Source organism: Homo sapiens, chromosome X (genome assembly GCF_000001405.40).
Source record: "Homo sapiens chromosome X, GRCh38.p14 Primary Assembly".
Lineage (NCBI taxonomy): Eukaryota > Metazoa > Chordata > Mammalia > Primates > Hominidae > Homo > Homo sapiens.
Genome location: NC_000023.11, coordinates 118,558,834 through 118,572,865, shown reverse-complemented (window position 1 = coordinate 118,572,865; position 14,032 = coordinate 118,558,834). Strand labels below are relative to the sequence as shown.

The following is a 14,032-nucleotide window of genomic DNA, read 5'->3' as shown; positions in this document are numbered from 1 at the left end:
AGACATGCTCCTCTTGAACATCAAGAGCCTACTCTATCTGCTATTCTGAGTAGGTAAGATTTTCATGAATCCTCACAATGAGAACATAGTCATATTTTGGCAAAAGAAAGAGATGTATAAAATTCTTCCATGTCAAATTTATCATAATATGTGGCACTGGAATTTTCACACAGTCAATTATTAATAGTTCTCAGTCATACAAAGATGTTTCTTCATTTTTTTATTGTAATAAGATTTCTTTTTTATATATATAAAACTTTCATTTTAGGTTCAGGAGTACATGTGCAGGTTTGTTATATAGGTAAATTGCATGTCACGGAGGTTTGGTGTACAAATTATTTTGAGAAAGACATTTCTTTAATGCACTGATGCAAGGGGGGTAGAAGGCAAAGTCATACATACATTTGTGGGTGGTCCTTTTGCATTGTCTCCAATTTGGCCCAAGATATTGAAAGTTAAATCATGGCAATTCACCAGGAAACGTTTATTGCATTTTTCTTCAAATGGCTTTATATCAGGTTCAATTCCTGAAAAGTCCAACCTCTATAAAAGAGATAGTATGAATCATTTTCAAAAAAAGATGGGATTCATATTGATTTACATCAATATACAAAAAATGGCAAAAATCCAACAGTTCTCTGTCCATTCTTCATTTGAACCCTTTTTATGTTTTCATCTAACAAGCTTTTATAGACTTTTTACACTAAGGTTAAACAGTGATGGAGAAATCCTAGAGGGAGATGATGAAACTCGGATCTAAGGGCAATGGAAAAGTCACAAGTCTGTACTATGGCCTACAAAGCCCTACATGGCATGATTCCCTGTCTCTTCTCACTGCTCTGACCTCATCTCCTACCACAATTGCCCTCTTCCCTCTTGCAGCCACACTGGCCTCCTTGGTTATTTTGCCAGCACAACAAGGACACTCCCATGCCGGGGCTTTTGCACTTGCTACTCTGTCAGGAACCCTCTTCCCTCAGATAGCTGTATGGCTTGCTCCCTCATTTCCAAGTCTCTGATCAGTCGACACTTCTGCAGGGAGACCTTTCCTAACTCCCTATAGAAAACTGCACACTCCCTGACAGTCTATACTCCCTTTCTCTCATTTATCTTTCTAATATTACTTTTTATATGTGTTTATTCTTTGTCTTCCCCACACAATATATGTTCCAGGACAGTCGAAATTTGGTTTCGTTTTTGAGCTGTGCAGGATGCAAAATTGACAGGAATGGGTATGGGAAGCATCAAAACTAATATGTAGACCGAGGAGGGAATTTCGCTTGAGGCCAGGAGTTCGAGACCAGCCTAGGCAAGACAGTGAGACCCTTGTCTCTATAAAAAATAAAAACTAGCCAGGCATGGTGGTGCAGGTCTGTAATCCTGGTTATTCGGGAGGCTGAGGTGGGAGGATGGCTTGAGCCCAAGAGTTCAAGACTGCAGTGAGCTATGATGGTGCCACTGCACTCCGACCTGGGTGACAGAGTGAGATCCTGTCTCAGAAAAAAAAAAAAAAGATTAACACAGTGGTCTCTAATTTGGGAGATTCAATAGATAACGATGTTATGAACTTAGTCGTGAAATACAAATGAATGGCAGATTTTGGGGTACAGTGAGTAGAAATGGTGAGTTCAGTATGGGATGTGTTGTGTTTGTGGTGACGGTAGTAGGTAGTTGGAAAAATGGGAGAGGCCTGACTTAGAGATCTGGACGTGGGAGTCAGCAGCATTTAGGTTGAGAGGCACAAAAGGCTGGAACCCCATGGACTACCTACGTTTAACTTATGAACAGAGTAAGAGGCATCCGCTTAGGAAACTGAGCAACACTGAGCTCAGCTAACAGAGCTGGGCAATGGACCTGGGCTGCCACAGAAATCGATTTTTAAAAATTATTGGTATTTTGAAATAAAAACAAGTTTAAGAAGAAGATATTGGGTGTGAAGGAATTCCTTTCAGTAGGGGAGGACTCTGTCTCTCAAAGAAAAAGATTGCTCAGGCAATCTAAGTTCATCTGTTCATGCTGAATGTCTGAACAGACTTATATTCTATTCACAAAGGGGAAGAAAAGTGTGGATTGTGGGGACAATTTACTGTACTTTCATTAAGGCCATAGACATTGTAGGCAGAAAATGATTGGGTGGATCTGAGCAGAATAACACTGTCAGTATGGAAAACTCAAGACAAGAAACACAAAATTTTTTCTCAATTACCTAAGTAATTCAAGCCAAAACAGGTATTATGCCTGAAGAATACTGGATAATTATAGCTGTTCTAACCTACCCAGTATGACTGACTGAAACCTCCTTAAAAGGGCCCAATGTGTAAGATTTGTGCCTGAAAGCTTGACTTCTTCACCTTTCAATCTATTTATCTACAAAAGGAATGCGAATGTGTGGGACTAGACAGCTCCCTCTTGAACACATATCCATCTGTGGAGGCAAGTCATTGCCATGGAGATCAATTTTAATTTCCACCCATTTATCTGCTCTCCTTTCTGTGTTACTCAGACAGTAGAATGGAAAGAGAAACTGGACCAAACCACTCCAGCCTTCAAATCCTTTCCCTTCTAAGGCCTGTGAGTACAAATGTTGGGACACATGGCCTTCTTCAGCTCTACGTTTGAGCCATCCCCTTTAATCAGCCAGTGTTTCTTTATTCTCTAAGGTCATGTCTCTAAACAATGAACTATGGCCAAAAGAAAAGGTAAAATTATGGGATGGCACCTCACCTAGAAAAGGTACTCGACAGATACAACATGGGTTTCTCCGAGGCGACACTGCCTTCCATAACCAACATTACATTCAATTTCTTCTCCTTAAAGCTTCATCACAACTGTGAATTTCTCTCTTACCATAGCTCACTGATAAACAACTCAGACATAAAACCAGTTCAGTTTTATTACCACAAAAACGCTACACCACAAATTTGTAAAGATACTGGATTTAGTTTCAACCACAGTCAGTTGGCTCCTTTGTATACAATGAAACAGCCTAACACGTCCAACTAGAGCCCAGTCATGGGTGGGAGGATCAAAGACTCAGACATGCTTGGAACAAGTAAATTTCTGAATGAATATCTTAGAACAAACATCCCTGAGGCCCATTATACTGTTACTTTTTTACAAAAAAAAAAAAAATCACATAACTTGCACTAAAGCAATATTTAACTCCGTGGGGGGAGAAAGGGAAATGAAATTATTTTTTAAAATTTATTTTCTCCAAATAATTCCATTTTCTTGTGTGATACTTTCATTAAGGAAAATGTTTGCATTATTTATAGCCTATATACTTTTTCTATTTTAAACTAAATTTTTAATTAGAAAACCATATGAAGCAAAAAGAAAAAAACAACAATGGCTGGCCCAAAGGTAGTGAGTTATCTCAATTGATTGTTCAGTCAATTACATATTGAACTTTTTGTTCTACTCTTTCTCCCCTTGTCACTACTGTACTTGACTACACTTAAAAAAAGAAAAAGAGGCCGTGCACAGTGGCTCACGCCTGCAATCCCAGCACTTTGAGAGGCCAAGGCGGGTGGATCATCTGAGGTTGGGAGTTCGAGACCAGCCTGACCAATGTGGAGAAACCCCATTTCTACTAAAAATACAAAATTAGTCGGGCGTGGTGGTGCATGCCTGTAATCCCAGCTACTCGGGAGGCTGAGGCAGGAGAACTGCTTGAGGAGGCAGAGGTTGCAGTGAGCCGAGATCGTGCCATTGCACTCCAGCCTGGGCAACAAGAGCAAAACTCCATCTCAAAAAAAAAAAAAAAAAAAAAAAGGAAAGAAAGAAAGAAAGAAGAGAGAGAGAGAAAGAAAGAAAGAAGAAAAAACGACAACAACAAAATCAGACTTCCCCAAATTATTTCATATTTTCGTGGAAGAAAAAACTGTAATGCACATTTTCCGATTTCAAACTAAATAAAAAATTTTCATTCGAAATCTCATGTAGAAAAAGGGAAAAGAAAGCCAAAAAATTTCGTCTTCCTCAATTTCATTTTTTCAAAAGGTATTTTCCATTAGGAAAAATATTTGTAATACTTAAATACTGTAGACCTTTCCCACTTAAACAAATTAAAAACTTAATTAGAAAATGTCATAGACTTAAATATTAACTGCATATATCTTACTACAAAACACATCTAACTCTCATGAAAGAGGTTAAAATACACATCCGCGTATAAACCTGCACCTTCCTGCACCACCCTCCATTTAAAGTGTGATTAAGCCAGACATGACAATTATCCTAGTTCTACAGGCCTACATCAAATGTGAAAAATAAATGTCTCATATGACTCATATGTTCTTTATACTGGAGATATTTTCTGCCACTAGATCACAATTGTATTTCATGGGCTAAAAGAACACTGTAACCATCTTTAACGGTGCTTTAATTTATCTATTTTGAGGAGCAAAAGGAAGTGAAAAGAATACAAGAAACTGAGAAATATATATATATATATATATATATATATATATATATATATATATATATATATATAATTCAGCCCCAAATTATCTGCATATGTGACAGTCCCCTTGAGTGAAGAGTTATTTGTTAAGTTACCTGTTCAAAGCAAACAAGACAAATATAAAACAATCTATATTCCCCACTGGTGCAAGAAAAACAGTGATTTCAACATTTCAAAGATGTTGTTTATCTGAATAAGCAATAATTCTAGGACTATTAAAGAAATGTATCATTAATACCTGAACTTCTGAATCAAAAGAAAAGAGATTCTGTCTTCCATCTCCTCTACTGAGTTTGTTTAGTTGTTCAGTTTCTCTTCCATACTAAAATTTTAAAAAATAAGTATGTTACTTCATTTCCTTCAAAACAGTGTTAAATACTATTTAAATGTATAGTTTATGTGAAACTATCAATCTGTCACAGCTTCAAAAATATACCATTCATCCTGTAGTCAGTACAAAACAGGAATGCAAGAGACTCTGGATGCAAAGGAGAAATAAACAAAAGAGAAATCACCATAGTTTTCATAGCCATTATGTTAGCTATAGAATATTATATGTAATTCTGATTCCATCACTTTGGGAAATACCTAATGGAGCTGCACAATCCAGGATGACAAAGATTGAGAGGGAATGCAACTAAAATCTATAAAATCATTTTATAAGATAAGGCCAGGCACAGTGGTTCATGCTGGTAATCCCAGCACTTTGGGAGGCCGAAGTGGGTGGATCACTCGAGGCCAGGAGTTCAAGACCAGCCTGGCCAACAAGGTGAAACCCTGTCTCTACTAAAAATACAAAGATTAGCTGGGCGTGGTGGTGGGCGCCTGTAATCCTAGTTACTCAGGAGGCTGAGGCAGGAGAATCACTTGAACCTCGGCAACGGAGGTTGCAGTGAGGTGAGATCGTGCTACTGCACTCCAGCCTGGGCGATAGAGTGAGACTCTGTCTCAAAAAAAAAAAAAAAAAATCCTAGATTAGAGGATCATGACTGTGTCCCTAAATTTTGAAAAATAGCTTTGAAGTTTATGAGGGGTAAATTTAAAATAGAAAAAAAAAAGGAGCTTCCAAATTTGTGTAACTAATTTGTCCAGTAAGATGAATAAAGTAAAAATATAAATAGATTTGGCAATGATTTAAATGAATAAATGGGTCACAACCTTCTAATCTACTATAATATAGAGTCTACAGAATACAGTATCGTGGTAAGATACTCAGGACAATCATCTCTACAATTTCAAAACTGGTTCATTTCAAACTTCAAACAGCAGAGTAAATAACAAAAATGATGCATGTTCACCAAAATCTTTATCAGATTAAATCATTCATATACACATATATTTACATATAGAGAATATGATTTTCATGTGAGATTAACATATGTTGGTCATAGATTAAATATCATGTGCATGAGCTGCATCATTATCCTTTTGGAAGAAGAATATTTTATGAATGATATACAGTAATTAAATTAAATAAGAACTAGCAGATAAAATTAATGAAGTCACAAAAGCCTGGAAGTATTTCTTGGTGTCTGGAAAAAAATAAGATTTTTCCAAACTGTCAGTTGGTACTTACAAGTTAGTCTTCAGGAGTGCAACTTTTCTTTTACAATCTCTACCTGTTTCACCAATTTGCTGTGGTTTTTAACGTGGAAATGACATTGCCAAATGGAATCCAGCATTAAAACTTTAATAGCTAATCCTGCATTATCTCAGTTGAAGGCAAGTTGCCATATGAAAGATGTACCTTCATCAGTTCCGGATGCATGCTCCTTTCCAAACTTGCCATGATGTTCTCGGCTTTTCCTTGGCTGCTAGTTTCATCATCTGCAAATTCATTAAAAGCAGATGTTCTAAACCATACAGACCATTACTAATAACCTAAGAGGAGTATCCTAACTATCTCTCCCACCCATCCTCTCCTACAAGATTTATTGCAAAGAATTTCTATTATGAAAGCATAGGGAAAACTTTAATGGACTTTTGAAAACCTGCCATGAATTTTCTATCTGTTTTAGTCTGGTTATATTTCATATGTCAGAGCCCATGCAGCATCAACTGTTTAAAAAAAGTCTATCAACCTCCACAGTCACTTATTAATGAAGAAGCAGGTCAACTTTTAAGATTAAGAGTTCTCTACTCACCCTGCACAGAGGACATTTCCACGGATTAAAGACAAGGGCTTTACTTCAATAATAAATCACTTTAAAATTCTGACCTTGTGCTGTTTCTACCGTCTCCTTTTTTTCTTGAACTAAACTGTCGGTGTTGATCTGAATAATCTTTTTCAAAGTTATCAACCATTCCTCCATTTCCTGCTCAGTTTCAGCAGCCAGATAATGGCTATATTTATCTAACATCTTGAGTTCAAAAGCATGACGGCGCATTTTGGGGCACTAGAGGGGAGAAAAAGTATGTGTTCAGTTAGTTTAGTTGTCCTTTTACTATTAGATTTCATTAGTTTATATTTATTTTTATCTCAGCTTAGTGCATATGTGCGTCAAGACTTTCATGAAATAACTGCTTCTTTCAGTAAGAAACAGACACTCTAAGACAACAAATGACCATGTTAAATATATTTTTTGTTCCCCTCCCTCAGGACTGAGCACAGTAGTATGAATATGTATAAAGTTGGGAGAAAACAATACTTGTTAAGTATTATCATTTAAGGCCTTTTGGCATCCTTCACATTCAGAAAATCAAAGTACCACCATAAAAGTAAGCAAACATTTTAGAATTTCCACTCCGTTCAAACTTTTCCTTGAATATTTAAGGATTTTCAAAGTCAGCACTTTAAAAAATTTAAATATGACCTGAAACAAATCTGATAAATTTATATCTCACCATAAAAGGCACTATAGATCCTAACTCATTTTACCACGCATAGTATCAACTGTATCACAATAGTATAAAAGAAGACCACAGTGTTTGGCAGCACAATAGGGCGACCATAGTTAACAATAATTTATTGTATATTTCAACATAACTAGAAGAGTGGATTTGGAATGTTCCTAACACAATTAAATGATACACACTTGAGGTGATGGATAACCCAATTACTCTGATTCGATCATTTGCACATTGTATACTTGTATCAAACTATCACATGTACCCCCAAAATATGTAGAAATATTCCATATCCATAGCAACAAAAAAGTAAAGATGGGGGCAGTGGCCCACACCTGTAGTCCTAGCACTTTGGGAGACAGAGGTGGGCGGATTGCTTAAGCCCAGGAGTTTGAGACCAGCCTGAGCAAAGCGGTGAAACCTCATCTCTACAAAAAAAATACAAAAAAAAATAGCCAGGCGTGATGGCGCATGGCTGTAGTCCCAGCTACTCGTGGGGCTGAGGTGGGAGGATCACCTAAGCCTTGGAGTTCAAGGGTGCAGTGAGCCAAGATGGTACTACTACACTCCAGCCGGGGCGACACAGTGAGATCCTGCCTCAAAAAAAAAATTAAAAATTAAAAAGAGAAGCCCCAGCATGGTGGTTTATGCATGTAATCCCAGCACTTTGGAGGCTAAGGTGGATTGCCTGCAGCAAGGAGTTCAAGGCTGCAAGGCTGCAGTGAGATATGATCATGCCACTGCACTCCAGACAGGGCAAGACTCCAAAGAAGGAAAGAAAGAAAGAAGGAAGGAAGGAAGGGAAAGAAGGAAAGAACGAAAGAGAGAAAGAGAGAGAGAGAAAGAGAAAGAAACAGAAAGAAAGAAAGAGAAAGAAAGAAAGAAAGCTAGCAAGCAAGCAAAGAAGAAGAAGAATGGCTTGGTAAAAAAGAAAGAAAAAATAAGACCATGCAACCATAGTTGGTTCACATTAAATTGTGACTCTCCATAAAATACATGGAAGTAACCTGTGCTGAATACCACCACACAAGGAAAATAAGTCTCCTCCTTTTCTCAAGCTTGCTGATACATTCTTTTACTTTACCACCTTCTCTGTCATGAAAAAAGAAATGACATACTACCCTTTTCAAATCCCTCAGCATTAATTTCAAGAAATGCTCATGAATCAATAATTTTCCACTGCATGGTCATTATTCAAGAAGGAACCAAGAAAGTTCCTCCTTCTAATCTTTGAAGTCTACGAAAGGATGAAATTAAACTGCTGTATCAAGTCATAAAGATTTATACATTTGAAAATATTTGGGAGGCGGTATCATAAATAGATGAGGTGCCTGAGCATGGCGGCTCACGCCTGTAATCCCAGCACTTTGGGTGGCTGAGGTGAGCGGATCACTTGAGGTCAGGAATTTGAGACCAGCCTGGCCAACATGCAGAAACCCCATCTCTGACAGAGACAGGAGACAGCCAAGGATTCCCGGCAAAACCTTTAATCTGTGAGGTGGGAAACCTGCTAGCAGGACTCTCTCTCACTTTGGTGAGAGTTATTTTTCCTTTTCACCCAGTAAATTCCACTTCTCACCCTTCTATGTGTCCACAAGCCTAATCTTTCCTGGTTATGTGACAAGAACTGGTTTTAACTGAACTAAGGAGAAAGTTATACAACATCTCTACTAAAAATACAAAAATTAGCCAGGCATGGTGGCGGGTGCCTCTAATCCCAGCTACTCTAGGCAGGAGAATCGCCTGAACCCAGAAGGTGGAGGTTGCAGCAAGCTGAGATTGCGCCACTGCACTCCAGCCTGGGCAACATAGTGAGACTCTGTCTCAAAAAAAAAAAAGAAAAGAAAAAAATTTTTTAAATGATAATAAAAATAAAAAGATGAGGGAAGCACTACAAAGAAAGGTCAATCCGGAAATTGTGTGTGCCTCGTTCTTCCAGTAAGAAAGCTCTTCTTTATATATATGAATATATATGAATTCATATATATGAATATATAATATATAATCATACATATAAGCACATTTTATTCACATAGAGCTTTATACTTTTTAAAAAGTGTTTTCTCATTTGTTAGAATTTTTTAATTTATCTTTTTAGAGATGAGATCTCACTGTGCTGCCCAGGCTGGAGTGCACTGGCTAATTCCACAGGCGTGATCATATCTCACTGCAGCGTCAAACTCCTGGGCCCAAGCAATGCTCCTGCCACAGGCTCCTGAGTAGCTGGCACTACAGGCACACAACATCATGCCCTAAAGGTATTTTCTCATTTGATCCTCACAACAATCTTGTTTGATAGAGTATACAGATACTACTAATCCCACTTCACAGTTCTGAAAATGAAGATTTAGGTAAACTGAGGGTGCTGAACTAACATCACTTTCCTCCTAATCAGCCCATTGTTCTTCTAGTCCACCACACCACCCTGGCTCTGTAATAATGACTTCTGTTCCATAGTCAATTGACTTCCCATCCAGATCATCTCTCAGCCCTCTACTTCCCATCCTGTTTCTGTCTGTGTCCCCTCAGTAATTCATATCAACAAACATTCATTAAGTCCCTACTGTGTGCAGAACCCTGGTAATTATAGAAGAAACAGAAATGAGTAAGAGATGGTCCCTGTAATCCCCAAAGGAATGTGTAGAATTAACCAAAATTAGAATGTGACTTAGTTGTATGACAGAAGGAAAAGCAAAATGGTTAGCACAGGAGAGGTGGAGCTTAATTCTACTTGGTAGTCACGAGGGTGAGGAAGGAAACACAAAACTTTTCACGGCAGTAGCCTTTAAGCTGAGTCATAAAAGATAAGGTTCAAACGGGAATAGAAGGAGAAATTATATATAGCAAGAAGAGGAAAAAAATGTAAGGCAAGCCATATATGTGTGCAACGCTTTAGAATGCTTAGCCTGGTGTGACCAGAGCACAGAATACACAAGGGGGTTCAGGAAGGATGAGGCTAGAAAGCACAGTGAGGCCAAATCACTATGGGCCTTCAATGTCAGGGCAAAAGCTTTAGAGTTCACTCTGTAAGACAATAAATCAAGAGCCAAAAGATTTGGAGAAGGCAAATGATTGACCCAAACTATATCTTAGGAAGTTGAACTGGAGCAAGACAAGAAATCAGGAGGCATAAAAGCGCAACTTTGGGCCAGCGATGATAAAAGGGAGAACTGGAGAAAGGGCAATGAAAGTAGGAGGTAAGAGGTTAAGAGGCACTTTAGAGCCAGACTCAAAGAGACTTGATAAACATTTAAATATTGGCACTGAGCAAGAACAGGGCACTGAAGAGGATTCTGAGCTTTCTAGTGTAGATGTTTCGGAGGACGGAGATGCCATCAATCAAGATGGAAAAATGCCAAGGTTCATTTTCTTTCCTTTTTTTTTTTTTGTGATGGAGTCTCACTCCATCACCCAGGCTGCAGTGTAGTGGCACCGTCTTGGCTCACTGCAACCTCTGACTCCTGGGTTCAAGCGATTCTCCTGCCTCAGCCTCCTGTGTAGCTGGGATTACAGGTGCGTGCCACCACACCTGGCTAATTTTTGTATTTTTAGTAGAGACGGGGTTTCACCATGTTGCCTAGGCTAGTCTCGAACTCCTGACCTCAAGTGACCTGCCCACCTCAGCCTTACAAAGCGCAGGGATTATACACATGAGCCACCGCACCAGTCACTTTTTCTTTTCTTTTTTGTAGACAGGGTCTTGCTCTGTCACCCAGGCTGGAGTGCAGTGGTGCAATCACAGCTCACTGCAGCTTCAACCTCCTAGACTCAAGTGATCCTCCCACTTCAGCCTCCAGAGTAGCTGGGACCACAGGAATGTGCCACCATGCCTGGGTAATTTTTGTATTTTTTTGTAGAGATGGGGTCTCTTTGTTGCCCAGGCTGATGTACTCCTAGGCTCAAGCGATCCTCCTGCCTCAGCCTCTCAAAGTGCTGGGATTACAGGCATAAGCCACCCCACCCAACCATCTGGGGTTCTTAAAAGTTTATCAATAACCCTGTTAGAAAAAGAGAAGGATTACCTCAATGGCCTTACCTGAACAACATCAATGCAGGCGTCCAAGTAGATGCAACCTTTCGATTCTTTTGAATTTTTCTCATCTTTATAGGAATTGAGAATATATGAACCGTCAGGAAGTTGGGTCAAGTAAAAATATCGTCTCTTGAATACCTACATGGGGAAAACCCAGCAATGATACATTTGTTACATATACATTGCATTTGAATAGTTTCTCTGAACTAAAAACCTCAAAAGCTTGCCAGGCAATTGTGCCTGGACAATCTTCAGACAACCCTGACAAGATGTTAGGAATTATCATTATCTTCATTTTTCTAAGATAGTGAATGAAAATCACATGATTTACCCTCAGTTAATCAAATATCTAGAGAACAATAATTAAGACTTAACACTTTGAAATGTATAAAGCATTCTGATATCTGAATCTCCTGACCCTTTCACTATAGCATTCTTTTCCCATTTAATTGCAAACCATGATTACATCATTTTAATTTGGTTTCTATTACCACGAATCCAAGAATAAACATAAAAAGCATATATATACATATATACATATACCCACATTACATATTTCCATCTCACCTACACATGTACTCATCTACACTGTACCACTGTCTTTGCTTCTGAAAGTCCAATTTACAGGGCACTCACAGGGAAGCACAGAGTCATTAGTTGCCTGCCAGTTGTTGTCGAGTGCCCCAAGTGCTGAGCTTTAAATCAACAGGCCTAATGGAACTATGCCATTTGTTTGGAGTTAGGGATTCACAATAGTTAAGGAGTAGCCTGTTGCTACAACTCACAGCAAAGCCCACAGGAACAGGAAAAGGTTGGGGACTGCCTGATGAGTTCATGCTGTCCCTCTATTCTCCCCTAAAAACAGACTTTGACAGTCTGATAAAAGAGGTGAGAAAAGGGATTAGGAGCTCTCTGATGAATTGATGCTTCTTTCAGTAAGTCACAAACTGCAGGCTATGTCAAGCAATTGTCACAGTGAAAGGCAGAGCTTATTCAAGTTGCAATTTCCCAGGATGACAGATCTGAAGTCACTTCAGGGTGAGATGGGAAGAGCAGCTCCTGGTGATTATTGAGGAAATGCATTCCTATGCATCTTGTCTTATTCGAAGAACCTGGCTTTAAAATTTAAGCTGGTCATTTTTAATTACCCATCTGATTATCCAATATGATCCCTGATCATTTTGAGAACTTTAATTATGGAAAGAGTATTATTTGGCAAGATCGTTCTTGCCAACAACTTAACGTCTGGCAAAGTACCTGAAACATCAATTTATTTCTCCATAGCATGACCAAGCAAAATATATAAAAGCCTTAAGGGACATTTCTTTTTAGAAAAACCAGTAAAAATAAATAACATTGATATTTATTTTTGACTTGTATAAATATCATTGATTTTTTTTAATGAATGACAAAAATATATATCAGTGTAAGGAATACCCTAACAGGTTAGACTGATAAATGCTACAGCTTCTATCTCGGGAAGGGGCCATGTGGGCTACGTGCTATCAACAGAAAAGAGTCCTAGCAGAAAACATCAGCTTGTTTTGCAATGCCAGTCAATTAAATGTTATTGTATTAGTATGCAAAGGAACAGAAAGAGAATGTGTGGGTATATTTATATCTTTCATATATGTACATATCTCATATATGTGAGAATATATACATATATTCTCATATTCAATTAATCTACATTTAAGTTTGCTGGAAGAAATCTAGATTAATATTAAAGGAAAATGTTAATCATAATGGTGATTATATATGCATGTTTGCTTATTTTCTTTATTTTTATTTTTATTTTTAGTAGACACAAGGTCTCCCTATGTTGCCCATGCTGGTCTCGAACTCCTGAGCTCAAGGGATCCTTCTGCCTCAGCCTCCCAAAAGTGAGCCACCCTGCCTGGCCTATTTGCTTATTTTCATGACAATGGTTCACATCTCTCATTAAAATGATGGGAATAGAAGGCTTAAAATTACATGCTGAGGTCATTTCAAATGAATAACATGTAATGAACACTAACTTTGTATAACACATTGCTTTTTAAAGTTATCACAGTAATTATCTATAACAAAACTAGAATACATCTTTCAGGCCAAAAGTAACATGAAAAAAATAATATGAAAAAATTTATATTTGAATTGTTCAAATCTAAAACTGAAATTCTGCTGCTTCAGTGGGACAGCCTACAGAATCCACTTGCAGAGTCAACAGCCAGCAACAAAGAGAGAGGCAGAAGAAGAGAAAATACAGAGCAAAACATTTGTGGCATACAGTCAAATTATAGTCTGAGAAATTTTTTTTTCACATACAGCTGCCTCACCAAGCAAAGAAATTCTGTGGCAGCCACCACTTCCCATATTAGCAAAGTGCATCATTACAATGGACATGGAAAGGGATATGAAATTACAGCAAATCACTTCCTCTAACATTGCAATTATATCTAAATGTGACACTAGGGTAGGTAGCTTATGAATCTGAGGAGAGAATATGATGCCTGAAAGAGCACTCAGAAAGAGCAGTTGCCTGAAAGTCTTATGATACTGATTCTCAGCCAGTATCTCCTGCTAACCAGCAGTGAAATTGTCCTCAAGACTCTGCTTCTCTCAGTTTACTCACTTGTAAAATGATGACATCAGACGAGATGATCTGTAAGATCATATTTTTCCACAATCTACAAATAATTTCATTC

At 38.2% G+C, this 14,032-nt stretch overlaps 1 protein-coding gene across 5 annotated transcripts in view; it reads right to left on the bottom strand.

The window, feature by feature from the left end:
* The window catches only part of DOCK11 (dedicator of cytokinesis 11), a 190,333-nt gene that overhangs the window by 113,282 nt on the left and 63,019 nt on the right, over window positions 1–14,032 (bottom strand). For all 5 annotated transcript variants that reach the window (XM_005262368.5, NM_144658.4, XM_011531276.4 and 2 more), the window contains exons 7-11: window positions 11,349–11,483; window positions 6,684–6,861; window positions 6,213–6,292; window positions 4,704–4,787; window positions 403–543 (exon numbers count right to left, since the gene is read on the bottom strand). In XM_005262368.5, the coding sequence (XP_005262425.1) occupies window positions 403–543; window positions 4,704–4,787; window positions 6,213–6,292; window positions 6,684–6,861; window positions 11,349–11,483 (618 nt within the window). The remainder of the gene's footprint in view (window positions 1–402; window positions 544–4,703; window positions 4,788–6,212; window positions 6,293–6,683; window positions 6,862–11,348; window positions 11,484–14,032) is intronic.